Source organism: Homo sapiens, chromosome 22 (genome assembly GCF_000001405.40).
Source record: "Homo sapiens chromosome 22, GRCh38.p14 Primary Assembly".
Taxonomy (NCBI): Eukaryota; Metazoa; Chordata; class Mammalia; order Primates; family Hominidae; genus Homo; species Homo sapiens.
In genome coordinates this window covers 36,139,900-36,167,184 of record NC_000022.11, presented here as the reverse complement: position 1 = coordinate 36,167,184, position 27,285 = coordinate 36,139,900, and the positions used below count along the sequence as shown (strand labels likewise).

Here is a 27,285-nt window from a genome sequence, read left to right as displayed (position 1 = left end):
TTCTCACTACCTGTCCTGTCTTTTTTTTTCATCCCTCCTCCTCCTTCCCACTCTTTACCTTTGAAATATTGAAGCCCTTAAAACCCTCTTTTGAAAACTTGTGGGCCACAGATCCGACTGTGACTTGTGTCTCTTTTTTTTTTCCTGTGGGCATCCTCAACCATGACAAAATAAACCACTAAACGGATTGAGATCTGTCTCAGACGCATCTTGGTTTACAAATCTTGGCTCCTCCCCGAGTTGCTGGTTGAAAGCCACAGCCTCATGCCTTGCCTCAGTTTCCTCACCTGTAAACTCAGATCATACTCCTGGCCCATTTAAGAGATGGTTATCAAATTCCAATTAAATAGAGAAGTGGGTATATTTCAAAGTGTATCGTACAGTTCTTGTGTAATCACCCTCCTGTTCCTCCCTGAAAATCTGGCAGGTGTATGGGGTGGTGGCCACGAGGCTGCAGGGACATTTGCCCAGGATGAAACAGTTCCCAGTGAAAGGGTCATGTTGGTCAGGGTTCAGCCCCTCTCAAAACCCTTCTGCCTGGGGTAAAGCAGAAAAGTCCGCCAGCAATCCGACAGCACGCCTTCTTAGCCACGGGACTGTGGCTGAGCAGTGGGCTTAGGCCCCTTCCCTCTAAGTGTTACCAATAATCCTGCACTGGGATGGATTCTTAACAGAGGTGGGGATTAACAGAGCTGGAGCTCTGGACCAGCAATCTCAGTTCCTCTGATAGTGAGCGAAGAATTGCAGACTAACACCAAAATGCAAGCTCAAGGCAAAGTGTATTGAAGCACAGTAATATACTCTCAGAGGGAGAGCGGAATGATTTCTGCGAAGTGAAATAAGCCCCTCTTTACAGGGTTTAAGGTGCTTTTATGGGGTTTGTGGGGAGGAGTCAAGGTTTGGGTTGTGTCTGAGTAACAGGATGATGTCATTTGATTGGCAGTTTATGGTTATATAACTAAAATTAAACTGGCATGGTTTTACCCATCATTTATACAGAAAAGCCCACTCTGGGGAAAGGAGGGTACAACCACATGTAAATTTTATTATAATGATGGTATAATGAACTTGGGGTGACCTGAGGGCATGTTTTTGTGTTACTGGGCATGTGCCCCTTTAGGAGACTTCCACCTGTGCCTTACTTTCTCTTTCTTTGGGATGTGCTGGCCACAGACTTTACCAAAAACTCCATCCATTAGGATGGCATTAGGACGGTTCTGGGGCTAAACTTAGGTGGGCCAGGGGCTGTTTCACTGTCAGCCTTTCTACTCTCTTTTCTTACCCACTCCTAGCTGCTAATGTCTATTTAACTACCTAATATTTCCCCCTTTAGAGAAAAAAAGCCAAATTTTTGGGTAGATCGGTGACAATTAATCTGGCTACTTCCTGCTGACAAGAGGCAGTGGTAATAATTGGGTTCTCTTTTTTGCTCTCTTGTAGCTGGTAGGTTGGGCAGAGAAAAGTGGTGGCCATCCAAGGGGCCCACGTAGATATCAGACATGGTTGAGACCTCGCGGTAACCTTGTGTAGAATCATTTGGAGTTTTATGGATTCTAGGTGGGAAGAAACAAAACAACCTTGTAAATCAAATGAGCATCGTTTGAAAGCTATAAGTTGTATAAAGCTGTTTTAGGACCAAGAAAGGGGGCTAACCAGGAAAACCAGGACCAGTTGTTAAATTTCCACCAGTCAAAGCCTCCTGAAACTCTGTTTTCCATTAACTTGTTGGCCCTGTCTGTAATTTTTTTAAGTTGGTTTGCACTTTACCTGATTGGTTGATGAAAACAGCAATGTTTATCAAGTGTTGCACAAGCTCCCCCTTGATTGGCTGTGAGCAAATTAAAAGCTCATCAATTTCATAAGACTATGCTTGCTAATGAAGCAATTTGTTCTGAAAGGGTATTGACCTGGTTAGTTAGATTAATAATTTGTTGAGTAATTTTTAAGAAGAGTTTCTGGGCAGTAAAAATGGAGTTAAGGAGGTCCTCCAGTTCCCGTGCCAATACCAGCCAGAACGCCAATTATAGTCAGTGCTGTTAAAACTCCTCTTTCAGTTTTACCAGATTGAGCGTGTATAGGGAGGGGAATGCTATCGATAAGAGTGAGTTTGGGGATGATGTAAACTAGGGCCAAATCCCCGTTTAATTAGCAGACAAGCAGAGATATGCCTTGTTTCTATACAAAAATGTGATTTGTCATGTTAAGACAAATATCAACAGTGATACTAAAGTAGGGTTTTTCCATGCTGTGTAAGTCTGCTTTAATACCCTCAGAAGTGGAAGTCAAGGCTAGTTCATGTAATGGGGGAACACAGGCAGTACTTGACAGAATGAAAGAGGAATCAAAAGCCCAATTAGAGGAAGGAGTGATGGGATCCCAACCAATATTGTGAAATTATGGGGAGCTGCAGTTTTTTGCAATGATTTTGCCCGAAGTTGTGAGACTGAAACCAGAAGTTGTTATGTTTAAAATGATATTCTGGTGTGGGTCTGGGGAAAAGGGTAGATCCAGAATAGCTGGCTTCTTTCCACATAGTGGTTCTGTTGGGGGGCTTGGGAAATGAATAAAACACAAAGAAGAATTAGAATATCAGGTATGTTTGCATTTTTTGTTGTCAGTGACTAAGCTGACACATAATTGGGTGGAAAATAGGGTACAAGTGTGATTGCAAGCCTTGGAAATATTAGGAAAAAATCCAAGTAATGGCCTCATCCTCAATGAAGATAGAAGACAAAGGAGTGCTTAGTCAGATAGTATTACAGATAGACGACAGGTCCTCGGAGGTTGTAACAGGTTTGTTGGTATAGACTTTTAAGGAGTATGCAATTGACTGTGGGCTCGACCCTAGGATTGACAGCTTATTCTGGTCGGTTAACAGAAGTGGGGGCTGGAAATGTTTCTGATTGATTCCACTCAGAAGCAGGAATGGAAATGGCTGATAGACCTCTGCTAGGGAAGGTGTAAACACAGATTCAACAGTTTCTGTGATGTTGTGCAGTCCGTTGATGTTGTGTTTAAACAAGGTTTTAAAACTTCTTTGATGGTAGCTAAATATGGGTGTTGGAAAAAAACATTAGGAGAAATGATTGCAAGGGTTAATCTAGTTTAAAAAGCAAAAATATTGGTTACTGCATTTAAAACAGCTATTTTAGCATAAAAAATTATTTCACCCATTCAGGAGGAGGCAATTGAACTGCAAATATATGAGAATAACTATAACAATCCAACTTAAAGCTAATATTTAAAAAAAGGCACTAGGGAAAGTCAGTGGGCATTACTTATTTTTTGGCAGTCTTTTAAAGAGAGGCTTGAGGTCCACTAAAGTCTCACAAGTGTATTTGTCTGTGGAGACATCATCAGTTTGGGCAGCCCTCTGTGGTTTTACATAGGAGTGTGGATGCAGCTGGCAATCCAGAATACACAGCACTGAGATCAAGGTAGTCTCGACATCCCAATATCCTTGACCATTACCAGGAGAGAGTGTCCCCTGCTCTTTAGATGGAGGCTCCGCCTCCCCTGGGGCAGTCTGTGTGTCTCTCAAGTTGTACCTATGTGTGGACCATGGCTGTGCCCAGCATGGAGACCCCTTCCTACAGTGGGTACTACAGCCTTGCTGAAAACATTTGTCCCCTAGATTCTGAATAAAAGTGGTTAGAAAGAAAGAAAAGAAATGAAGCTCTGTTCAAAAGAAAAAGGAAAAAAAATTGCAAAACGATCTTCAGAAGCTGTGCTGCTGCCTATGGCAGTGTGGCAGGGAGGGGGCCTCGGGTGGGGTGAGTGCCCAAAAGGGTGGGCGAGGACGATTTGGGGAGTTCTCCAAAGGTTATGACCCACTATGGGCCTACCCTTCGTTCCCGGCTGTAAACCTCTAAACTTAGCATTTATCCAAGCTATCCCATGATCTGAATCCCAATCGGCTCTCTTAATCAGTAATTTTAAAAATTGCATCCAGCCAAAATGCCCAGTCTAAAGGGAGTTGAGGGTGATTCCTGGCTCTGTGGCCAGAGCATAAGAAACCATTTTGCCTCTCAAAGCTTCCCTGGGCTGTTAACAAGCTCTGGGCTTCAATGGCCACTACAACCTAATGAAGTTGTTTAATCACGTTAAACAGCTAATTAAACCTAAATCCAGAGAAGATTTCTCTAAGCCCTTCTCTAAAAGTTATTGGTGGCATGTTGGGGGATATACCCCCTCTCTAATGCAGCAAATACAACACTCATTGCAACTTCTCTTAGCCAAGCAGCGAAACATAGCACAAACATCTTGACCCAAAGCGAAAGGAAGCATTTTAGCAAAATATGTTTCAGTTCCCCAAGCTAAAATCAAGCACATATTAAAAGCCATGCTGAACGTAAATCATCCAGGTCACAGCACTAAGATATTACCAGGAATTCTGCGCTGGGATGGATCCTTTAACTGAGGAGATTAACAGAGCTGGAGTTCTGGACCAGTAATCTCAGTTCTTCTGAGAGTGAGCAAACAATTGCAGGCTAACTCCAAAATGCAAGCTCAAAGCAAAGTGTATTGAAGCACAGTTAGACACTCTCAGAGGGACAGTGGGCTAATTTCTGTGAAGTGAAGTCAGCCCCTCTATATAGAGTTTAAGGTGCTTCTGTGCGGTTTGTGGAGAGAAGTTGAGGTTGGGGCTGTGTCTGAGTAAAGGACGATGTCATCTGATTGGCAGTTTATGGTTATATAACTAAAATTAGGCAATGCATGTTTTTACCCATAATTTTCACAGAAAAGCCCACTCTGGGGCTTTTGTATAATAAAACCACATTTTATTATAATGATGGTATAATGAACTTGGGGTGACCTGAGGGCACAGTTTCATGTTACTGGGCATGTGCCCCTTTAGGGAATTTCCACCTGTGCCCTAGTTTCTCTTTCTTCAGGATGTGCTGGCCACAAACTATACCACCAACTTCATCAGTTAGGGGGGTCTTAGAATGGCTCTGGGGCTGAACTTAGGTGGGCCAGGAGCTGTTGCAGTGACAGGCTTTCTGCTCTCTTTTCTCCTCCCAGCTGCTAATGTCTACTTAACTGCCTGTTGGGAGCTGAAAAGGCCAAAGGGATTGTGACCAACTCAGCATTTCACTGGAGGCTATATGATCAAACAGCAAACTGTTTATCATGAATGCGGGATGTGGGTAAACTCACACTGCACCCGCCGCCAGAAGGTTTCCTGAGGGCCATCACTCCCTGGTGCTGGGCTCCTTGAAGTTATCTGTTGGGATATCTAGCACCTATTATTTGAAGGATGCAGTCTTGCAAGCCTGCTGTGAACCAAACGGCTGACTGACAATTACCTGACAATCACCCCCCCACCTTTTTCTCGTCATCTCTTTTACCTAATAAACTCAGAGAGCTTGAAAAGCTCAGAGCCCTTGTTCACTAGAAGCAAGGAACCCCCTGACCCCTTCTTCCTAATATACTCTTTTGTCTTTGTCTTTTACTCCCACATCCGCCCCCCACTTTGTTCAGTCAACCTGGGACTGTGGCCAATTACAACAGCCTAACAAAAGTGCCACAGGAGTGGAACATGGGGCAGTGGGCTCTGCTGAAGAGGATGCTAGGGGGCTTCTCAGGGGAGGAAATGCTAGATTTGCATTCTGATAGAGGAGCGTGACTTTTCCAGGTGAAGGTAGCAGGTGCTCCTGGCAGAAGAACCCACATAAGGAAGTGTCCAGAAGCCACACAGGTATGGCGTTCGACAAGAGCAGGTCTGGAACGGTGGCTCATGCTGAGGCAGGAGGATCATTTGAGGCCAGAGTTTGAAACCAACCTGGTAAAAATAGTAAGATTTCACCCCTTCAAAATCATTTTTTAAAAGTAGCCAGGCCGAGTGGCTCATGCTTGTAGTCCCAGCTACTCAGGAGGTTCATTTGAACCCTGGAATTTGAGGCTACAGTGAGCTATTATTGTGCCACCGCACTCCAGCCTGGGTGACAGAGCCAGACCCCATCTCAAAAACAAAACAAAACAAAACAACAAAATAACCCCAACAGCAATACAATCAATATGCAATAAGCGTCCACCCGGCATGTGTGATGGACTGTGGTAATGCTGATGGCATGGAGGGAGTGAGGTGGGCATCTGGGGAGTGTGGTGTTATTGGGGGTGGGGAGTAATCTGGAGGGTCTCATAGTCTTTCAGTGGTAGGTCTTTCTTCCTGAAGACACAGCAAACCCCCAACCCTAAGTATGGGAGGCAGGTGGGTTGGCCAAGAAGGACGTCTGGGGCTGCTCTTGGATCAGCAGGAGGGTGGGACCAAGGGTGCTGCTGGACCAAGGATGGGACTGGGCCAAGGGTGGGGCTGGGAAGCATCCTGTTTTGCATGTTTGATCAGGAGCTGCTGCCAAGTTGTGACTTTCACTTTCCCTTTTGGGTTCCAGGGTATATCTCAGAGCCTGGAGAACGTGTCTGGTTATTATGCAGATGCACGGCTGGAGGTGGGATCCACACAGCTCAGAACAGCTGGATCTTGCTCACACTCTTTCAAGAGAAGCTTCCTTGGTAAGTTAGGGGTGGTCTGACCTTCCCCATCTCCCCATCCTCACAGCAGCTCTATAAGAGAAGGGTCATTCACCTTTTGTAGATGAGCTCAGAGAGGTTAGGTAACTGACTGAGGTCACATCTCGGTCCATGGCAGAGCCTGAATTTGCACCCAGGTTTTAGCTGGACTTCTCCCTCCCTCTCTCTGGGCCCCCAAACAGTAGAGACAGAGGCAGAATCAGCTCAGCTGGGTTCACAAAGCTTCCTAGGGCTCAGCTCTAGTTCCAGCCTGCGTGAGACATGGCCCGGTGACCCCAGAAGGAAGGCAGATGTTGGGACTGTCCATTCCTTTAGAATATTTGGAGGAACCAGAGAAGGTGGAGGACAGGAGGTGATCCAGAGCCTGGCCTGTCCTTCTTGTGGCCTGGCCACCCTGAGGCTGGCCCCAGGGTGCTGCTGCTGAGGCCCGATGGGGACAGAGGATTTCCTTTGAGATACAAGGAACCTGGCTGGGCGCGGTGGCTCATGCCTGTAATCCCAGCACTTTGAGAGGCCGAGACGGGTAGATCACTTGAGGTTAGGAGTTCGAGACCTGCCTGGCCAATATGGAGAAACCCTGCCTCTACTAAAAATACAAAAAATTAGCTGGGCGTGGTGGCACAAGCCAGTAATCCCAGCTACTTGGGAGGCTGAGGCATGAGAATCACTTGAACCCAGGTGATGAAGGTTGCAGTGAGTCGAGATCGCACCAGTCACTCCAGCCTGAGTGCACTCCTGACAGAGTGAGACTCTGTCTCAAAAAAAAAAAAGAGAGAGAGAGCGAAAAGAGATAACAAGGAACCCAGAGGTTGTTTCACCCACCCTGACTCTGAGCACCTACTTGAGCCAGGCCCTGTGGGTAAACTGAGGCCATGGGAGATGAGTGACTCGCTGAGGGTCCCATGTCAGGAAGTTGAGCAGGTAGATCACAGGACTCCATGTCCCTGACACTCACCTGGTTCCTTTTCAGGCCTCTGGGTGATAGAGAAGAAAGAAGCTGTGCTGTTCCCTAGTGGGAAAGATGGCCCAGACAGGGGCAGTGAGAACGGCATGTTGCAGAATGGTGTCTGCCACATGATCCCAGCTTGACAATCATGAGATTAAAAGTCAAACTGTGGAAGCGTGAGCATAACTGTGGGAGCGTGAGCTTAGCCCTCTGTGTTTGTAGAAGCAGAAACAAACCTGGAAGATTTTGGATTATTAACATTATACTTTCTTGCTTCAATGTCAGAGTCAGGAGGTCAGGTGTTGACCTTCCCCCTGCCCTCCAAGAGGTGTGTGACACTGGGGAAGTCACTTCCCCTCTCTGAGCCTCAGGGTTTTTCACCTGCCTTAGGGGGTTAGGATGCCCTACCCTGCTGACCCCCAGCAGGCTGCTGACCCCATCTGGGGTGAGGTGGGAGGCGGGGCAGTGCGAGTCAGGGGAAAGTTGACATTGCAGCCCAGATGCCTGCAGGGGCTGCAGGAAAGTGGGGAGAGCTGGAGGCCTGCATGGGCTTCTCAGATCCAGGTGATGCCCAGCAGGTGAGAGGGTGGGCCTGGCTCCTCAGAGCTCAGATGACGGAACATTTGCTATAAACTCAGGTGCAATTACATTTGACATGCTGGCAACCAAATAAAAGGCAAACCTTGCATATGCCACACACACACTCACAAATTCACACACACACACACACACACACACGCACACTCACACCTGCTATTCAGATTTCACTTCATGGAGCCCTGTGTTTCTCACCTCTGTGTCGTGGCCTCGAAGGGTCTTTGATTCTGTGCAGCTTCTTTTCCTCCTCATTTCTTTAAGGGAGGCATCGCATTCATTAGTCTTTTTTTTCTGACGGAGTCTTGCTCTGTCGCCCAGGCTGGAGTGCAAGTAGCACCATCGGCTCACTGCACCCTCCGCCTCCTGGGTTCAAGTGATTCTCCAGCTCACCCTCCTGAGTAGCTGGGACTACAGAGGCGTGCCACCACGCCCGGCTAATTTTTAGTATTTTTAGTAGAGACGGGGTTTCACCATGTTAGCCAGGATGTTCTCGATCTCCTGACCTTGTGATCCACCCACCTCCGCCACCCAAAGTGCTGGGATTACAGGCATGAGCCACCGTGCCAGGCGCATTCCTTAGTCTTAATGGGCATAGTGTTAGGGACCCGCCTACTCCCTATGGCAGGAGATTTAGTGATTTCTCCCTTTTTGGTGATAGAAACAACGCTGCATGGCACCCTCTAAAGCCCCTGTCCCTGCACACTTGCCCTCTGCTCCCTGGAGGCTGAGACCTAGGAGTGGGTGCTGTGCCATGACGTGGGGGCACTTTGTAAAGTGTGCTGAGTATCGCTGACGATCCTCCAGGACACCAGAACCTTTCACACTCCATCAACAGTGAAGGGGCTTGTGCCACCTTTACCTCCCTAACAGTGGACATTATTAGTCACTTTAGGTTTGGCTTATCTAATGTTTCAAAAACGTATGTCTCTGTGATCACTTACATATATGGTTCAAAAGTGAGCTTGAGTGCCTTTTCATATGGTTAACGTTAATTTCTATTTCTTCAGATCCTATCTTTTACCCATTTTTAAATTTTATTTATTTATTTATTTATTTATGAGATGGAGTCTGGCTTTGTTGCCCAGGCTGAAGTGCAGTGGCGCAATCTCAGCTCACTGCAACCTCCACCTCCGGGGTTCAAGCAATTCTCCTGTCTCAGCCTCCCAAGTAGCTAGGACTACAGGCGCGTGCCTCCACACCTGGCAAATTTTGATATTTTTAGTAGAGTCAGAGTTTCACCATATTGGTCAGGCTGGTCTCGAACTCCTGACCTCAGGTGATCCACCCGCCTTGGCCTGCCAAAGTGCTGGGATTACAGGTATGAGCCACCGCACCTGGCTATATTTTTAGAAACTTGATTTCAGTCTTTTCATGTTGATTTGAGCATTTCTTGTGGATTGTGGACAGTTACCTTTGCTTTAAGTATTGCAAACCGTGCTTCCTATTCTTTCATTTTATTCTGGCTCTTGAATGATGTTCTTTCTAATTTTTAATTTGTAAGAGGTAAAACTCTATTCAATTTTCCCTTTAAGTCTTCTGGGAATTGAGTTTTGATTCGAAAGGTCTTCCCAACTCAACATTGTTTTTAACATTTCTTCTAGTATAGTTTTAATTTTTTCTTTCTGGGGTACACTTAGATCCCTTTGGGATTGATTTACTTATTTTTGGAGAAGAATTTGTTTCTTCTTCTTTTAAATGTAGGACCTATTTCATGGGTACCTACTACAGACAAAGAAGAACAAGACTTTTTTGTGTGTATTCTAAGGCACAACAAGTGCAGGAAGGAAATGACCTCTTTCCCGTAAAAGTCCCTGGCAGTAGTTGGTTGCTGCATAAGAGTGTCATGGACCCGGAGGGAGCTGGGCCCAGATGCAGGCCTGGGCCATTGCCGTGGGGGAGGGGAGGCTTGGAAACCATGGCTATGATTCAGAGGTTAGCTGGCTCGCGTGTTTTTAGAAATTTCTTTTTTCTTTCTCCTCGTACAAAAGTAATAAGACTGGGGAGGACACGGGAGAAAATAAATGGAAACTCAGAAACCTGATAGAGCCACCAAAAGTACATGAAATCAGAGTCATGGTCTTATTTGTTCTTCCCCAAAAAGAGATGAGCATCTAGATAGCAAGGAAAAACATTCAATCCCTCAACTGAAAGTGAAACTGAAGCTGGGCCATGTTGTCCAGAGGCTGGTTGCTTTTAGTCCAAGTGCTGCCTCCCACACCTCGGATTTCAGCCAGGCTGTGCCACGGAGGGCAGAGGCCACCCAGGTCAGTCATAGGGGATGCAGCTGGGAACACCGCAGGGTCCCTGCCGGATGCTCAGAGTTTAACGGGGAGACAGAGGCCCAAAGAGCCACACAGAGGTAGAGCTGCCCCCGGAAAGCAGAGTGCTCAGGGAGCCTGGGGAGGGCTGGGGGACGCTGCAGGGTCCAGGCAGCTTTGGCTGAGCCTCTGAGGATGGGTGACTTGCACATGGTGGGGAAGGTGGGGGAGGCATTCCAAGGGGAGGGAGCAGCCTGAGCAAAGGCCTGAGGCTGGGAATGGGAGTGGGGGGAGTAGATGGGCTCTGGGAGGCAGGGAAGCAGGGCGTCAGTGTGTACCTGGACCCAAGGTGACTGTGTGGGCAGGGAGCAGTGAGGAAAGTAGGAGCCCGTGTGCCCAGTTAAGGGGTTGAACTTGACCCTGGCAGGTCATTAAAGATTCCTCAGGAGACCTAGGTATTGTGGCTCAGGGCTGTAATTCCCGTGCTAATGCACGAAGGCTAATGCAGGAGGATCCCTCGAACCCAGGAGTTCAGGACAAGCCTGGGCAGCATAGCACGACCCCATCTCTGCAAAAATGAAAATAAAAAGATTGACTGACATAGTGATGCACTTGTAGTTCCCACTACTCAGAAGGATGAGGCAGGAGGATCGATTGATCCTAGAACGTCAACACTACAGTGAGTTATGGTGGTGCCACTGCGTTCCAGCCTGGGTAACAGAGCAAAAAAAAAAAATATTGAAAATAAAAATAAAGATTCCTCAGGAGGAGCACGGTGTCTTCACCCCTCTCTCCCTCTCTCTCTGCCTAAGGAGGAGGCCCCACAGCCACTTGCAGGGAGCTGCTTTGCTGAGAGTCTCTGTCCTCTGCATCTGGAGAGCTTGGCTCAGAGCTGAGGCAGGAGGGAGGGCTCCCTGTCTGGGCCTCCTCCAGGAACTAAAGTCCCTTTCCGGGAATTGACCAAACTGCAGGCTTGCCCAGGGAGGACATGCTGTGTCCTAGTTCAGCTCGAGGGGCAGTATCCAGCTTCAACCCTCAGCGGATGCCCCAGACAAGATTCCGAGCCAGGCCAACAACGCCTAAGGAGGACGAGACCCTGGGTGTAGCTCATCAGAGGTGTCAGGTGTGGTCTGAGGCCCCAGCTCTCTCTGCCCTCCTGCTCCTCTGCTCTGTGCTGGCTCCTGGTCCTTATGGCTCATGATGTTGAGACAGCTGCCCTGGCCTAGGGGGTCACACACTGAACAAAGCAGGAAGAAGGGGAAGGGGAGCCCTCCTTCTATCACCCTTATCCCTTACAGCAAGAAGCACCCAGAAACCCCTCAGCACACTCCCCTAGTGCCTCTATTGGCCTCACTGTCACCATGGTTGCATGGGGGCCCCAGACAATAGACACCTGGATGCAAGATCCCTAAGACAGAGGCAGGAAATAGGAAGAGGGAGGTGAGAGGCTTTCGATGAGGATGCTTCTACACATGACCTTGAGGATGAAAACGCATCAGGGGGTCCCGGGAACCACTGCGTTGTTAACATAAAGTCTGGGAGCAAAGACCAGCGGCTGGAATGGATGTGCCTGGGAGCCAGCTGAAACAGATGCAGCCGAAGCCACAGTAAAGAAGAAAGAGATAGGGGCCTGCTTGGAGCCAACCCCTACCTTTGAGGGGCCTGACAGGGCCACCTCACAGCTGCCTGGGCTTGTTGTTGCCTCCTCACTACAGAAACCATGGAAGTCTCTAGAGTCAATGTTTCCAGGCTGGGGCTGCCAGATCACTCCTGTAGGTGGTTGAACCAGTTGAGTTCATTCTTCTCAGTGAGGGGGACACAGGTGGAGGTCCATCGGCACCTCCATAAGGGGTGCGAGAAGGAACCTGTTAGAATATCTGGGTTCTGGCTGGGTGATTGGCAGGAGGGCCTATGAAATGGAGCCCACTCTGGATTGGGTGTTGCAGAAAGTGGGGGGCAAGTCTACCAGTGGGTATCTCAGCAAATCTCATCTAGAGAGAGGGAGACCAGGAAGAGGTTAGAGTTGACTTGGTGTAGAAAAAACAGGCATTCTATTTAGCCAGGAGAGGGAGTGTTTGGTATTTTGTGGGTGGAGCAGAGACTCAGTTTCTGTCTATACTTAGACAGTATTATGAAGTCTAATTGCTCTGTCTCATTTGCTCACAATCTCAGAGTCACCCTGTGTGTGGTTACTATTCTGTGACATTATTTCTGTCCATAGGAGAATAACACAGCCCTTCTGGGAGTCCACGCCAGCTTCCAAATGTCTGTGGCAGCTCTTCCTTCATTCTCAACACTTACGAACAGGAACATAAATAAATAGAAGGAAAAATATCCATTTATATTAAGATGCTCTTCTTGTTAAAACCAATTAACAATTAAACATTCTCTGTTACGATAAGTCTTTGCATTTCAAGTACCCTGTTTTAGCCTTTTCTGTATACTTTTCTCAAATGTTCTCACTTGAATGTTAGTATCAACCCAAGGCCTTTCACAGATTCATCTTGGACCAAGTAAACATGATCATAATAATCACAATCAATTATTACTGTTGAATATAAGCGGTATAAACCAAAAGTAAGATTCTAAGCCTCCCCCTCATTTAAAGGACTTCCTCCTCAGCCAGGGCTCTTAAAATTTAACCTGAAAGACTGGTTCAGGCCATGAAGGGAAATGGGGGTCAGACATGCTTCATTATGCCTCTCTGGCATTAATATCAACACAGGCTTTCAGTCTAATAAGAAACATTTTACAGCCTGTTTCTCTGTGAAGCCTGCTAGCTGAAAGCTTCATCTGCAGGATAAAACTTTGGTCTCCACAACCTCTTATCACAACTCAAACATTCCTTCCTATTGATCTCCGGTCTTTAGACAAACTCAACCAATTGTCAACCAGAAAACGTTTCAATTTACCTGTAGCCTGGAAACGCCCACTTTGAGTTGTCCCGCCTTTCTAGACCAAACCGATGTATTTCTCAAGTGTACTTAATTGATGTCTCATGCTCCCTAAGTGTATAAAATCAAGCTACACCCCAACCACCTTGGGCACATGTCATCAGGACTTCCTGAGGCTGTGTCACAGGCATACGTCCTCAACCTTGGCAAAATAAACTTTCTAAATTAACTGACACCAGTCTCAGATTTTCCGGGTTCACAGCGGTTGGGACTGACCAGTGGGCATCCCTTTGAACACTGCTCTGAACATCTTTGGAAGCGTCCTTGCTTTCTGGGGTAACACATATCACAGTCTGGGGAATTTGGTTCCCCACAAGACGTCTTGGTTCCTTTGGGTGGAAAAGAAGCCCGTATGTTGAGTGGCAAGGTGCCACTGGAAATTATACTGATTCAAGATAGGAGTTCACTCTGATTATGCTGTTAATATTAACAGTTTAACATAAAATGACAACATCCGTACTTTTCTTAGCAGCTTGGTTACCCCAGCCACCGAGGTTTCTCTGAAGCTGACATTTCTCCCATCAGGAGGCAGGTGTATTTCTCTTTGGCACTTGCTCACACTTCTCCATCAACTTTAAGGTGGTGGCACCACAATCCAAACCATTATTGAGGTTAGCAGTTACTAACTACTATAAAGTAACTTCTGTTTTGTTAAAATTTAAAAAAATCAATTAATAAGTGTATACGGTTCAGACAAATCATTTAATAAAGAGGGCTCCACTCACTCCCTTCCCAATTAAAAGCAGCTAATTTTGATGTTCAGATTTTCCTTTTTTTATTTTCTGAGACAGAATTTCACTCTTGTTGCCCAGGCTGGAGTGCAATGTAGCTATCTTGGCTCACCACAAACTCCACCTCCTGGGTTCAAGCGATTCTCCTGCCTCAGCCTCCTGAGTAGCTGAGATAACAGGCATGCACCACCATGCCCGGCTAATTTTTTCATTTTTTTAGTAGAGACAGAGTTGCTCCATGTTGGTCAGGCTGCTCTCGAACTCCCAACCTCAGGTGATCCACCCACCTCAGCTTCCTAAAGTGCTGGGATTACAGATGTGAACCAGTGTGCCTAGCCAGCTTTTCTTTAGGGAGTAAATCATTTTCTTTACATAATATTCTTATGCTAGCAGATGAAATAGAGTGAGAGTGCATGCTCTGGAGATTGGGCACTTGAGTTTGGCTTCTGGCTGTCACTAGCTAGGGGCTCCAGGTGAATTACTTAACTTCTCCAAGCTTTAGTTTTCCCCTCAGAACTATTAAGATGATAACAGTGCCTACGTAGGATGGTTGTTGTGAGAACTAAACGTGAGTTTATTTAACTTTATTTCTTATGCCCTTAACTGTAGCCAGTATTTCTTGACTCTTCACTTTACAAAATGGCCATATTAATCCTCCCCCTCCTTCCTTCAGTGTTTCACCTCCCACCTTTACCATGGAACATTAATTATACTGACTGGTAACAAGTAGATTTAGTTCTCATATGTAAATGTTCTGTTTTGTTCTAAAAGTTAAAAGTTAACCAAGTGTTTACATTTTGGTGACGCTTTAAATCTTGCTTACTGTTGAGCTGAGTTGTACAATATGGTTGCACATGTTTTGCTGCACGGCTTTAGTTTTTCCTGATGTTTCTAATTGCCTTTGTTTTTTCCCCCTCTTGTACTGTTTGCCTTCATGATTTCCTCAGTTTTTCTCAAACTGTGAATTATATGCAATGTTCTATCGAGTCCCCTTTCCCTACAGAGCCCTTTCCTTCTTATTCTATCCTGGACTGGTTGCTTTCTAGGCCTGCTGCATGCCCAGCTGTGATCCTTGCATTTCCTTCTCCCTGGGTTGATTTTTCTCTTTCACGTCTTTTTCTCTCTTGGTTTTCCTTATCCCCTCTCCATGAGTGTGCGTGCACACACACACACACACTCACATTCTTCCTCCTCTCAGCCTCCACAGCTCATTCTCAAGTAACTTTCTTTTCTGTTATTTACTTGTTTTTCTTTTAACAGAGACAGGGTCTTGCTCTGTGACCTCTTGGGCTCAAGAGATTCTCCCCAGTCAGCTTCCAGAGTAGTTGGGACTAGAGGCATGCATCACCACACCTGGTTCATTTTTGTATTCTTTGTAATGATGGGGTGTCACTATGTGGCCCATACTGGTCTAGAACTCCTGGACTCAAAGAATTCTCCTGCTTACCCTCCCAAAGTATGGGGTTATAGGCATGAGCCACCATGCTCAGACTCAAGTAGCTTTCTATGTAATTATTATGTATGGTAACTTTCTTATTCTATATCTAGCTCTGTTTTTGTTTTTGTTTTTTTCTTTTTCTGTCATCCTTTTAGTTGATTTTCTGGAAAGCTTCCTTGCCTATCTTTTTGAATCTTGTCCTAGAGTTGTTTATTTTCTCAATCACCTTTTAATTCTCAAGAAGTCTTTTTTGTTCCATCATCTTTGTTCCTTTTCAGTACATAATGTTCTCATTTATGAATAAAACATTTTTATGTCCCTGAGGACATGGGTTTGAGTTTTTAAAAATTATTTTCTATTTTCGCAATCATCCATTTCTTCTGGACTCATTTTTTACTTGTTATCTTGACCTTTTCCCCATTTTTTGTCTTTCTGCTTTATCTGATCCTAGATCTATTCATATTAAAGAAAGGGGCAGGTCCACTGGCAGTCTTCCCTGTAGAGTGATGAAATGAGAACTCCTTGGCATCAGGATACAAAGATATTATTTCTGGGGCCTTTAGATGCAGTTATGAAGTCTCTAATTTTTTCCATTGGTGTAGACTCACGGCTACTGTGAATCCTGTATGGGTCGTGGGGCTGGTGAACTTCTCCCCTCTCTGAGGCTCTGCTTAGCAGGCAATTCTTGGCTGAATGTGCTCTTGGTGTTGCTGTGGATTGCAGATCCCTTTACCCCTCTCTATTCAGTTGTCACTTCTTCAGCCAGTTCTGTCTTCCAAATATCTGTTGAAGTCTCTGATCTCCTGTTTTCCTCATTCAAATTTTCATATGTATATATTTTTTGAGACAGAGTCCCAGTCTGTCACCAGGGTGGAGTGCAGTGACCCAATCTCGGCTCACTGCAACTTCTGCCTCCTGGGTTCAAGCGATTCTCCTGCCTCAGCCTCCCGGGTAACTGGGATTACAGGCACACGCCACCACGCCCAGCTAATTTGTGTGTGTGTGTGTGTGTGCATTTTTAGTAGAGACAGGGTTTCACTATGTTGGCCAGCATGGTCTTGATCTCCTGACCTCGTGATCCACCTGCCTCGGTCTCCCAAATTGCTGGGATTAAGGCGTGAGCCACCACAACTGGTCCATTCACATTTTCATTGGCAGCAGAGGGTGCAGAGGCAGTGTGTGTGTTCTTGAGTCCGTCTGGTTGGGTGGGAACCCAGTCTTTACACCTTAGTAGATTTCTGAGATTGGGCAAGTCGCTGAACATCTGTTTCAGTTTTCTTATCTGAAAATGGAAATACAAATGGTACCCACTTAATAGGCTCTTGGAAGAGGACTGTGAGTTATTATTTATAACATCTTAGAGCAATTAGTGGTGCAAAGTCGAGTCCACAAATGTTCACCCCTATTTCTCATTGACTGTTATTATACCTATAAGTGCCTTGACTAACACTGTAGTCAGATCTTGAAGGGATAGTCAATAAATGTTCTTCTACCTTCTTAGAACAATGCCTAAACATAATCAACATTTGCTTTCTTTTTTCTCATTTCCCAAGGCAAGATCATCACAAGCAGAATGTGAAGAGTGTTTCTCTGTATAAAGATCAGCATTTATTTAGGCTGGTTGTAGTGGCTGATGCCTGCAATCGCAGGACTTTGGGGGGCTCAGGCAGGAGGATTGCTTGAAACCAGGAGTTGGAGACCAGCTCTGGGCAACAAAGCAAGATCCACATTTCTAAAAAAAATTTTTTTTTAATGTGCCTAGCGTGGTGGTATGTACCTGTAGGGACAACTACTTGGGAAGTTGAAGCAGAAGCATCACTTGCAGCCAGGACATACAGGCAGAAGCAAGGGGGACAAAGGGTGTCCAGCACAGCACCAGTGAATTCACCAAGACAGACACTTGGGCATAGAGTGCAAGACACAGATTTGGAATGAGGAGTCATTTACAATAAGCATGTATGCATGAGTCAATATTTTTATATATTTAAGGGAGTGGAGCCCAGTCATGGAAGACATGGGATTTGAATCAGAAGTCCTGGCTCTACCCCTATTGTGAAAACATGGCAAGGTTGCTTAACATTTGAGGTTTCTTCTGTTTCAAAATGGGAGCCACGGTTGCACCCATCTCCTGGCCTGTGTGTGATCATCGAATGAGGCACATATGAGGAGCCCTGCAGATCACAGACACCCAGTACACACTGGCTATTATCAATTAGTTATCACACATGTTGCCAGGCCCAGGTCATTGTCAGAACGTTCCTTCCCATCTCTATTTCGGTGTATAGACTCTGTAGTTTCTGTGATTATCAGATGTCCATCCCTTCCTCTGATTATCTTCTCTTCATACCCCTACAGGACAAAAGGACCCTGCCTTGGTGTGAGAGTGAGGGCAGAGGGAGCTGGAGCAAGTAGAATTTCTCTAAATACCAGCTGGCTGGGGCCCAGGAGATTAAAAAACACCGGGCTAGGTTGGTCTTGGCATTTGCTGACACGCAAAGGGATTGCAGAGATCCAGCCCCTCCAACCTCCCTCTGTCCACAGGTGGCTCACATTCAGTCCCACAATTTGCTTTCTCCTCCTCAAGGGTTAAGAAAAAAAACGAACCCTTCCAGTCAGGTCAGTGACTGGAGAGCTCCATGGAAAGTCTCTCAGTGACCTGGCTGCTGGCACCATGGACTCAGGTAGGCTTGCTTCTTCCTCTTCCCTGGCTGGTTCCTACTCGCACCTAGAATGGAGGGTGGCGTTTCCACAACTCAGTGAGCCCCAGAGGAACCCGGATGGTCAAGCAGGCCGATGAGTCTTCCCTGAGCCCCAAAAGAGGCCACATGGAGTCCCCCGACCCAAGGGTCTGTGGGGGCATCTATGTCCTGACCTCTCCTCAGGGGAGCATGGCCCAGGTGCCCACTTCCTCCCTGCCCTGGCACCTAGCAAACGACTCAAGTGGGGCACCACAGCCTTGGGGAAGTGGAAACAGCAGGGTCGGGGAGTAGGGGGAGAGCAGGGTCCAGGAGGTGCGGAGGGCTGAGAGAGGAGGTTGACCAGCAGTCCCGACCTCTGACCTCCCGCTCTGCTCCCAGCTGACCCTGGGGTGTTTCCAGCACAGGCCAGTCCCCTCCCTCCAGCTCTTGCCCTGCACCAGCCCCTCTGCTCTGAGTGGCCCTGTGAAAAGAGTGACTCAGCGTCCCACTGAACTGAGCCCCATTCTGGCCTTTGCCACGTCTTCTCTGTGTCACCTGGAGCTTCTTACCTCCCCTCACCTGGAATGCGAGTATAATATTTCCCCATGTGGTCATGAGGATCAAATAGTACATGGGTACCTGGCCCAGCCAGTGCCTGCCACACAGTAGGGCCTCCCTAAGAGTTGGTTCCCATCCCCTTTACCTGCCACTGTTGATTCCAGGTGGAAGCCCCTTTTTGTCCCCCAGGGCGCCTGCCCTGCACGGCCCATCACAAGCACCTGCTTACCAGGGATGACTGCCTCAGGCAGGGCCTCATTCCCATGATCTCAAATACCCCTTGTCAAAGAAAAATCTGAGGTCCAATCGAATTTTGAAGACTTTATTTGAGGAAGAAGCAAGTCATGAAGTGGGAAACATCAAAATGAAAGACATTTCATGTTATGATGGAAAAGTGTCAGAGGCAGGTATTTATAGGGTGAATATGGAAGTGGAATAAGGACATTATTTGATTTGTTGCAGTTGTCAAATTATGTTTTTTGGTTTACCTTGTTGGAAAATTCCTAGTCGTGTACCCGTCTGTCAGCTGGCTGCTCATGACTGGCCGAAGTTAAGTTTTGTTTGTGCCTAACGTAAGCACCCATCTGAAACGACTCCAGTTAAGTTCCCCATAGTTGGCAGTTTAAGGGGGGTTACAGCCTTTCTGAAGGCCTGTTTGCTTTTGTTTGCCCAGGTGTTCATTTTAAGTTTGCTTTAACACCCTGGTACTCCCACCCCAGCAATAAATACACAGATCTAGTGCTGGAGGTTCCCTCCATCCAACCCTGGTTTCCTTCATCCTTTCAGTGAAGGAGGAAAAAATAAAAGCAAAATACCCCTCACCCAAGTCAGCACTGTGTTCATTTCCCTAAGGCCTGTTTTCTCCCCTCACTGAGTTGCCTTGGCAACCAAGTCACATCTGCTCAGGAGCCGCCCTGGACAGCAAACTGGGCTCTGCTGAGTCCTGTCCAAGATGAGGAGAGGGCAGGGAAGATTAGAAGCCGGGACCTACCAGCCAACCCCGGAATCCTTCAGAAGGGCTTGGCTGGGAGGCTCAAGGAAGAAACTCTCTCTCCGAAACAAGATGATCTGTGGTTTAATAACGCGGCCAGCTGGGTTCAGAGGTGATAGTGGGGAGCCATGTCCCCTGAGACCAGCCTGCAGAGGACAGAGGTAACACAGAAGGGCCACAGGGATCAGTGCTGAGGGTCTTGCTCCCCTGCCCGCCTAAAGAACCCCCTCCACTGCCCATCTGAGAGCGCCCATGAGCAGCAGGAGGAATCCTCTGTGCATGGTAGTTTATTCAATGGTGTAGGGTTGAAATATTCTTTTTCAATAAAATGTTTAAAATCCCACAGGTATACTACAGTGGAGAATGCAGGAACCACAGGCATTTTCAAAATATATGGAGTCTTCAAAGTAATGGCAAGGGAACGCTGGCCTTGAGTCAAATCCTGAGCTTCCTGCTTGCTGGGTTGGGTGGTGTCTTTCGCTGTCTGGGTCTCAATTTCTCCTTCTGTGAAATGAGAATGAGGCCTCGCAAGTGTGTCCACGGCAGGAAACGATTTTACCTCATGTCCCAGTGCATACATAAATCCATACTGCTTCCCAGTCCCTTCTCTGCAGTTCCATAATTCCCAAATCCCTGCAAACCACACATTTTTGGGGCAACTCATCTGGGCAGTAATCCTGCTGTGTACTAAGATGCTTTGTACTGATAATATTATGTATCCCATTTAAGGTGAATATTCATTGGTTTCTCTGTTGAAACATTTGTACCTTTGATTACAAGGTTGAAACATTTGTAGCGTTGACCAGTGTGGGAGTGGTCAGTGATACAGCATATGCACCCTGTGTCATATTGACACAGATTGAAAATGCTGCCATCCTAAACACATCTATATCCCAGGAATTTACATAAGGGTATATATATATACACCCTTATGTATATATATATTATATATATTTCAAATATCTTACAAAAGAATACTCACTCTTGCTGTGTTCAATACACTCTGATATTTTCAATGCTCTTTTCTTTTTAAAATGCTGCTCTTGACAAAATGAACTATTTTCATAACCCACTGATGGGTCGAAACTCAGATTTTGAAGACACTGGTGTAAAGCGTTTGACAATAGGCACATGGCAGAAGGAAGCGATCACTGGAATATTTCCCGTACATGGGGAGAAAGCATGGTGGAAAGCTCACTTTCTGGTGATTCTCAGCTGAAATAGATCGGTTCCTCCACAAAGCACCATGGCACTTCCCTGGTGAATCACTCTTCTCAGGATGCCTTAGTAAAACGCCACAGGCTGGGTGGCTCCAACAACTGATGTATTTTCTCACAGTTCTGGAGGCAAAAATTCCAAGGTGAAGGTGCCAGCAGGGTTGATGTCTGGGGAGGGCTCTGCTCCTGGCTTACAGAGGCTGCCTCAGGGCTGTGTCCTCACATGGCCTTCCCAGTGTGGGGGGTGTATGTGTGTGTGTGTGTGTGTGTGTGAGTGTGTGAGAGAGAGAGAGAGAGAGAGAAAGAGAGACAGGGAGAGAGGGCTGGAAGGCAAGAGAGACAGCGAGGGCGGGGTGGGGTGAGGAGAGAGAGAGAGATCTTCTGCCTCTTTTTTTTCTTTTAACTAGACACCAGTCCTGTAGGATTAGGGCCCTACCCTTACGACTCTCTTTAAATTAATGACTTCCTTAAAGGCTCAATCTCCAAATATAGTTACTGGGGTTTAGGGTCTCAGTATATGAATTTGGAGGGCACACAACTCAGTCTATAGCACTGATGCCTCCATCAAAAATACCCCATGTGACAGCTGGTTGAGGAGGATTAACCTCGAACCACCTTATTCTCAATGCCATTTAGGCTGTAGCACACTTTCTTCCAATCTTATGCTTTTTGTTTCCAAGTAGAAAAGAAACGCTTTACTGAAGAGGCCACCAAATACTTCCGGGAGAGAGTCAGCCCAGTGCATCTGCAAATCCTGCTGACTAACAATGAAGCCTGGAAGAGATTCGTGACTGCGGCTGAATTGCCCAGGTAACCTCCGTGGGGTTACCTCCATGGGGCGCCCCGGCTATGCCATCCTGATCTCCCCTGGGCTAGTTTTCTCTGGCAGGCACACCTCCTCCAGGCAGCCCCCTCTGCTGAACTTGAGAATGTCCCTCTCAGCAGTCCAGGAGGAATATTTCCTCCAAGTCCTTCGCTGGCAGTGAGTGACCTCAGGCTGAGGGGAGAGGAAGCCCACAAGGGCAGGGTCAGTTCTGCCATCTACTGGTGATGGGAGCTTTGCAAGCTACTTGACTACTTTCTGCCTTCCTTTCTTCATCCATTGAGCTTTATTGTGAGAAAAATAAGCTAATGCATGTAAAGTATTTAGCATAATGACTGACACATGGTAGGTGCTCCGTTAATGTTACCTTTTAAAAAGATTGCTGGGGAGAGACCAGGACCAAAAGTGTTTTTCTTTTTTTTTCTTTTTTTTTCTTTTTTTTTTTTTTTTGAGACAGAGTCTTGCTTGTCCCCCAGGCTGGAGTGCAGTGGCATGATCTCGGCCCACCGCAACCTCCGCCTCCCGGTTTCACGCCATTCTCCTGCCCCAGCCTCCCAAGTAGCTGGGACTACAGGCTCCGGCCACCGCATCCGGCTATTTTTTTTTGTATTTTTAGTACAGACGGGGTTTCATCGTGTTAGCCAGGATGGTCTTGATCTCCTGACCTCGTGATCCTCCCGCCTCGGCCTCCCAAGGTGCTGGGATTACAGGCATGAGCCGCTGCGCCCGACCAAGTGTTTTTCTTAGAGTTGGATGCCCAGCAGGACTTTCTTTGAAAAAAGCCAGAAAAATCTTGACCTGATCAATGTGTGTTCCTGGAGATGCTGTCCGGGGCCCTTTTCTTCCACCTCTGAGGAACTGCACAAACACAGCAGGATCCTCCTGCTGACACAGAACACAGAGAGGCTGGAATGGAGTTGGACAGAGCTGGGGGTGGATCTTGGCTCTGTCCCTGCACAGCTCTGGGGCTGTTGTTTTATGTCTTGGAGACTGGGACCTGCCATCTCTCCAATGCTAATAGTAGTTCAATCAGATGGGCGTGTGGTTAAAGCCTGAGAATGAACAGCAGGTCAGAGGTGGGGAACCAAGTAGCATGATGCCATCCAAAGACCCAGAGAGACGTTTCAGGGGCAGAGCCAGGGGTCAGGATGGGGCAGGGGTGGGCCTGGGTTGGAGGAGCAGCAGGAAGGCTCGGGCACCAAGGCTGGGAGTAGGGTGAGAAGAGGGAGGCACTGAGGGCATGAAAGGTAACGTGGCCATGGACTTGCAGAGGACCAGTGAGTGGGAGAGGGATATTTCTTCCCTCCCTGATTTGATCCCATCACTGATGGGCATAGTGGGCCATGGGTGACTGTTTCCCTGACAGCATGCCTGGGAACTGGGGCATTCTGAACTGCCATTTGGGACCCTCTTCTGTTCTACATAGAGTAGAGGAAGTGTTTCTTCGGGCCAGCTTGGAGAGTTGGAACAAGTGTCTGCCAACTGGGTAATTTGAAGGGTTCTCAGGAGACTCACAAGTCCCCAACCAAAGAGAAAAACACTTTCTCTATCATCTTGTCCAAATGCAGGTCTTTTCAGCATTAGTGATTTATAGAGATGATTTTCAAAGTCTCATGAGTCCATAAGAGGTTCCATGAAATTGCACATGGCATTGGCATGCACACAGGTGAAGCTGTCACCTGCTAAGGCATTAGTTTGGCTGGTGACATGTGACAGTGAGACCCTGAAGCTTGGAGGTGCCAGGTCAGGAGGCCGTCAAGTGGCTTGAGAGTTCATGTGCAGCCAGGACTAATAGCCAGGCCTTTCACTTTTCAGTCAAAGGGGGCAGTGGCTGGACCCAGTGGCCTTCAGTCAGAAGATCAAAGGGCATGTGGCATTGGAAGAGAGAACATGCCAGGCAAGGTGATCTCTTCCAGTCTGAGGTTTTATTTGATAGCTTAAGGACTCAGAGTTAGTCAAAATGCAATGTCTGAAGGCACCCTTCCTTCTGACACCAGTTGCAGATTTGAAGGTGTTTCTTAAGCCCCCACTCAGGTTTGATAATTCACTACAAAGACTTACGTAACTCACTGATAACTGTTATTGCACGATTGTGGTTTATCACAGGGAAAGAACACAGATTAAAATCAGCCTAAGGAAGAGACACACAGGGCAGAGTCTGGGAGGGTTTCAGGTGTGAAGCTTCGTTGTCCTCAGGACGCTGTGTTCTCCTGTGTGAATGTGGGACAAAACACATGGGGTGTTGCCAACCAGAGAAGCTCACCCAGTTAAGGAAAAATTCCTGTGAATCACATTAGATCAGGAAGCCTTTATTCAGGATTGTGTTACAGGGGAGGGAGACTGAGCCCAGCTCCCAATATAGTAAAGACAGAGGGGGAGTCACAGCCAACACCAGGGTGAGGAGTGGGAGATGGACCAGTTCTGACTGGAGACACCAGAATGGGGGGTTTCTGCTAAACTGGCCTAACAAGCTGCTCAACTAAAGGCAGGTAAGGAGCGGGTGAAGACCGTGATCAGACAGCAAGAATGCTCAGACAGCAAGTGGGGAGGACCCTCCCTAACTGCCTTGGGGGATTCTTGCTGAACTGGGGCAGTACAGGCCCAGCAAGCACGGGATGGGCATGGAAGGTCAGCGCCTAGAGGAGAAAAGGCTCAGAGCAGCCTGACTGGAGTTTGGCCAAGGAGAAAGTCTTTCTCAACCTATGCCTCAATGTACAGAGCTCTTTCTGGGGCTGGATCACAAGCTGTCCTGATGGCTGACATGGAGTCCCCAGCCCCTCCCTGAGGTCTAACACCCTTAGTTCCCAGTTCCTTTGGAAGGCAGAAAAGATACGTAATAGCCCCAAAACCCATCACCCATAACATTGCTATACTGTGCTGTAGCCAAACCACCAGGGAAACAAAGATGTTCCTACCAGGCAGGACATTCCAGGGCCCCAGAGATCCCTTCCCAGGGCCCAAAGACAAAAGAACGACCTCTCTTCTAATAAAGTTAATCCTTCACTGTTCTATGATCCTCTGAATGAAGGTCTTTTTGCTCCGAACCCACTTCTCTTTGTTCATCTACAAAATTTCCCCTCTCCACACACTATTGGAGGGATGATGTTGACCTCTCTTGCTTGAGGAGCCATCTTTATCGAATACCTACCACTAAAGAGCATCTGAAGATGACTTTAAGTTTTTTATTCCCATACAGAATAAGTACTGTGGCATATCTATGATATACAAAACATGTTTAACCTTGGAAAAATTATTTTAAATTTTTCCATTTAAAATTTAAAGCTTTATTTCCATTTGACTCATAGTAATAGCTCTGTGATTTATGTAGAACAGATCTTATTGAGCTGATTTTACAGATAAGTAAGCTGCCTTTCTTAATCATCTGTCCTTTATTGGTACAGGGATGAGGCAGATGCTCTCTACGAAGCTCTGAAGAAGCTTAGAACATATGCAGCTATTGAGGACGAATATGTGCAGCAGAAAGATGAGCAGTTTAGGGAATGGTTTTTGAAAGAGTTTCCCCAAGTCAAGAGGAAGATCCAGGAGTCCATAGAAAAGCTTCGTGCCCTTGCAAATGGTATTGAAGAGGTCCACAGAGGCTGCACCATCTCCAATGTGGTGTCCAGCTCCACTGGCGCTGCCTCTGGCATCATGTCCCTTGCTGGTCTTGTTTTGGCACCATTTACAGCAGGGACGAGTCTGGCCCTTACTGCAGCTGGGGTAGGGCTGGGAGCAGCGTCTGCTGTGACTGGGATCACCACCAGCATCGTGGAGCACTCATACACATCATCAGCAGAAGCTGAAGCCAGCAGGCTGACTGCAACCAGCATTGACCGATTGAAGGTATTTAAGGAAGTTATGCGTGACATCACACCCAACTTACTTTCCCTTCTTAATAATTATTACGAAGCCACACAAACCATTGGGAGTGAAATCCGTGCCATCAGGCAAGCCAGAGCCAGGGCCCGACTCCCTGTGACCACCTGGCGAATCTCAGCTGGAAGTGGTGGTCAAGCAGAGAGAACGATTGCAGGCACCACCCGGGCAGTGAGCAGAGGAGCCCGGATCCTGAGTGCGACCACTTCAGGCATCTTCCTTGCACTGGATGTGGTCAACCTTGTATACGAGTCAAAGCACTTGCATGAGGGGGCAAAGTCTGCATCTGCTGAGGAGCTGAGGCGGCAGGCTCAGGAGCTGGAGGAGAATCTAATGGAGCTCACTCAGATCTATCAGCGTCTGAATCCATGCCATACCCACTGACCCCAGACCAGTGCAGCCAGCAGGGGAGGTGAGCCATACACAGGCCACGACAAAATGCAGGCATTTTATTAGGGGGATAAAGAGGGCAAGGTAAAGTTTATGGAGCTGAGTGTTAGTGACTTTGGCATTTCTGTAGCTGAGCACAGCAGGGGAGGGGTTAATGCAGATGGCAAGTGCACCAAGGAGAAGGCAGGAATGCTGGAGCCTGGAATAAGGGAGGAGAGGGGACTGGAGAGTGTGGGGAATAGGAAGAAGAAATTTCCTTTAGACTAACGAATATATTGGGGGGAGGAATAGAGGGGAGGTGTGCAGGAACCAGCAATGAGAAGGCCAGGAAAAGAAAGAGCTGAAAATGCAGAAAGCCGAAGAGTTAGAACTTTTGGATACAGCAGAAGAAACAGCGGCTCCACTACCGACCTGCCCCCGGTTCGATGTCCTTCCAAGAATGAAGTCTTTCCCTGGTGATGGTCCCCTGCCCTGTCTTTCCAGCATCCACTCTGTCTTGTCCTCCTGGAAGTGTATCTCAGTCAGCCAGTGGCTTCTTGATGATGGCGGTGGAGGTGGTGGTTGTAGTGTGATGGATCCCCTTTAGGTTATTTAGGGGTATATGTCCCCTGCTTGAACCCTGAAGGCCAGGTAATGAGCCATGGCCATTGTCCCCAGCTGAGGACCAGGTGTCTCTAAAAACCCAAACATCCTGGAGAGTATGCGAGAACCTACCAAGAAAAACAGTCTCATTACTCATATACAGCAGGCAAAGAGACAGAAAATTAACTGAAAAGCAGTTTAGAGACTGGGGGAGGCCGGATCTCTAGAGCCATCCTGCTGAGTGCCCTGTGTGTAAGTCCTAATAAACTCACCTACTCACCAAGCTGGACTTATTCGAGTCATTCCTTGGTCTCCTGGCTCCTTTCTCGCTTTGGGAGCAAGTTCCTGTCTGAAGTTTTTGTCTGAACAGTGGTAAAGGTGATGGTGATGATGTCAGCAGACAGCAGGAGGACTTGACAAATGTCAGCCCTGCTTGGGGCCAGGATACACTGAGGGAACGATGACATTCCAATGAAACTCCAAATTCTGTATTGGAAAAGTCATTGATTTGTGAAGAAAAATAAAAGGAGGCTGGGCACGGTGGCTCAGGCCTGTAATCCTGGCACTTTGGGAGGCCGAGGCGGGTGGATCACCTGAGGTCAGTAGTTGGAGACCAGCCAGGACAACACAGTGAAACCCCTTCTCTACTAAAAATACAAAAATTAGCTGGGCATGGTGGTGGGTGCCTGTAATCTTAGCTACTAAGGAGGCT

The 27,285-nt window shown here is 47.2% G+C and overlaps 1 protein-coding gene across 32 annotated transcripts, besides 7 other annotated features; it reads left to right on the top strand.

Annotated features, from left to right (window-relative positions):
- The first annotated feature begins 1,007 nt into the window (after positions 1-1,007).
- On the top strand, positions 1,008-26,862 carry APOL3 (apolipoprotein L3). 32 transcript variants are annotated; one of them, XM_017028949.2, is made up of 6 exons: positions 6,396-6,516; positions 17,221-17,414; positions 17,814-17,926; positions 18,043-18,139; positions 21,583-21,712; positions 25,127-26,856. In XM_017028949.2, exons 4-6 carry the CDS (start codon positions 18,130-18,132, stop codon positions 25,983-25,985), a joined length of 999 nt encoding a protein of 332 aa, XP_016884438.1. In that variant the 5' UTR covers positions 6,396-6,516; positions 17,221-17,414; positions 17,814-17,926; positions 18,043-18,129; the 3' UTR covers positions 25,986-26,856. The 32 variants fall into 32 exon arrangements, with proteins under 32 accessions (NP_663616.1, NP_663617.1, NP_663615.1 ...); NM_001393601.1 differs by having other exon boundaries at positions 6,430-6,516; positions 21,586-21,712; NM_001393604.1 differs by lacking the exon at positions 17,221-17,414 and adding an exon at positions 13,762-13,900 and having other exon boundaries at positions 6,430-6,516; positions 21,586-21,712.
- Positions 4,827-4,986: an enhancer, noted in NCBI's record as "active region_18916". NCBI's record gives its function as "activates an Ori minimal core promoter by ATAC-STARR-seq in GM12878 lymphoblastoid cells {active_cell/tissue: GM12878}" and the evidence as "EXISTENCE:reporter gene assay evidence [ECO:0000049][PMID:35858748]".
- Positions 4,938-5,511: an enhancer, noted in NCBI's record as "NANOG hESC enhancer chr22:36557722-36558295 (GRCh37/hg19 assembly coordinates)". NCBI's record gives its function as "activates a minimal SCP1, AML or CMV promoter by ChIP-STARR-seq in naive and primed H9 embryonic stem cells {active_cell/tissue: H9 hESC(naive and primed)}" and the evidence as "EXISTENCE:reporter gene assay evidence [ECO:0000049][PMID:30033119]".
- Positions 9,831-10,434: an enhancer, noted in NCBI's record as "H3K27ac-H3K4me1 hESC enhancer chr22:36552799-36553402 (GRCh37/hg19 assembly coordinates)". NCBI's record gives its function as "activates a minimal SCP1, AML or CMV promoter by ChIP-STARR-seq in primed H9 embryonic stem cells {active_cell/tissue: H9 hESC(primed)}" and the evidence as "EXISTENCE:reporter gene assay evidence [ECO:0000049][PMID:30033119]".
- Positions 9,831-10,528: a biological region, named in NCBI's record as "H3K27ac-H3K4me1 hESC enhancer GRCh37_chr22:36552799-36553402".
- Positions 10,409-10,528: an enhancer, noted in NCBI's record as "active region_18915". NCBI's record gives its function as "activates an Ori minimal core promoter by ATAC-STARR-seq in GM12878 lymphoblastoid cells {active_cell/tissue: GM12878}" and the evidence as "EXISTENCE:reporter gene assay evidence [ECO:0000049][PMID:35858748]".
- Positions 25,231-25,730: an enhancer, noted in NCBI's record as "H3K4me1 hESC enhancer chr22:36537503-36538002 (GRCh37/hg19 assembly coordinates)". NCBI's record gives its function as "activates a minimal SCP1, AML or CMV promoter by ChIP-STARR-seq in naive H9 embryonic stem cells {active_cell/tissue: H9 hESC(naive)}" and the evidence as "EXISTENCE:reporter gene assay evidence [ECO:0000049][PMID:30033119]".
- Positions 25,731-26,232: an enhancer, noted in NCBI's record as "H3K4me1 hESC enhancer chr22:36537001-36537502 (GRCh37/hg19 assembly coordinates)". NCBI's record gives its function as "activates a minimal SCP1, AML or CMV promoter by ChIP-STARR-seq in naive H9 embryonic stem cells {active_cell/tissue: H9 hESC(naive)}" and the evidence as "EXISTENCE:reporter gene assay evidence [ECO:0000049][PMID:30033119]".
- Positions 26,863-27,285: the final 423 nt, after the last annotated feature.

What these genes read in the sequence shown, in the direction of transcription:
- APOL3 (NM_145640.2), top strand. Translation starts at nt 6,294, where the DNA reads ATGGGACTGGGCCAAGGGTGGGGCTGGGAAGCATCCTGTTTTGCATGT. An exon ending in TTTCAAGAGAAGCTTCCTTG is followed by an intron (nt 6,517 to 21,585) that starts GTAAGTTAGGGG and finishes GTTTCCAAGTAG; the next exon opens with AAAAGAAACGCTTTACTGAA. An exon ending in ACTGCGGCTGAATTGCCCAG is followed by an intron (nt 21,713 to 25,126) that starts GTAACCTCCGTG and finishes TTATTGGTACAG; the next exon opens with GGATGAGGCAGATGCTCTCT.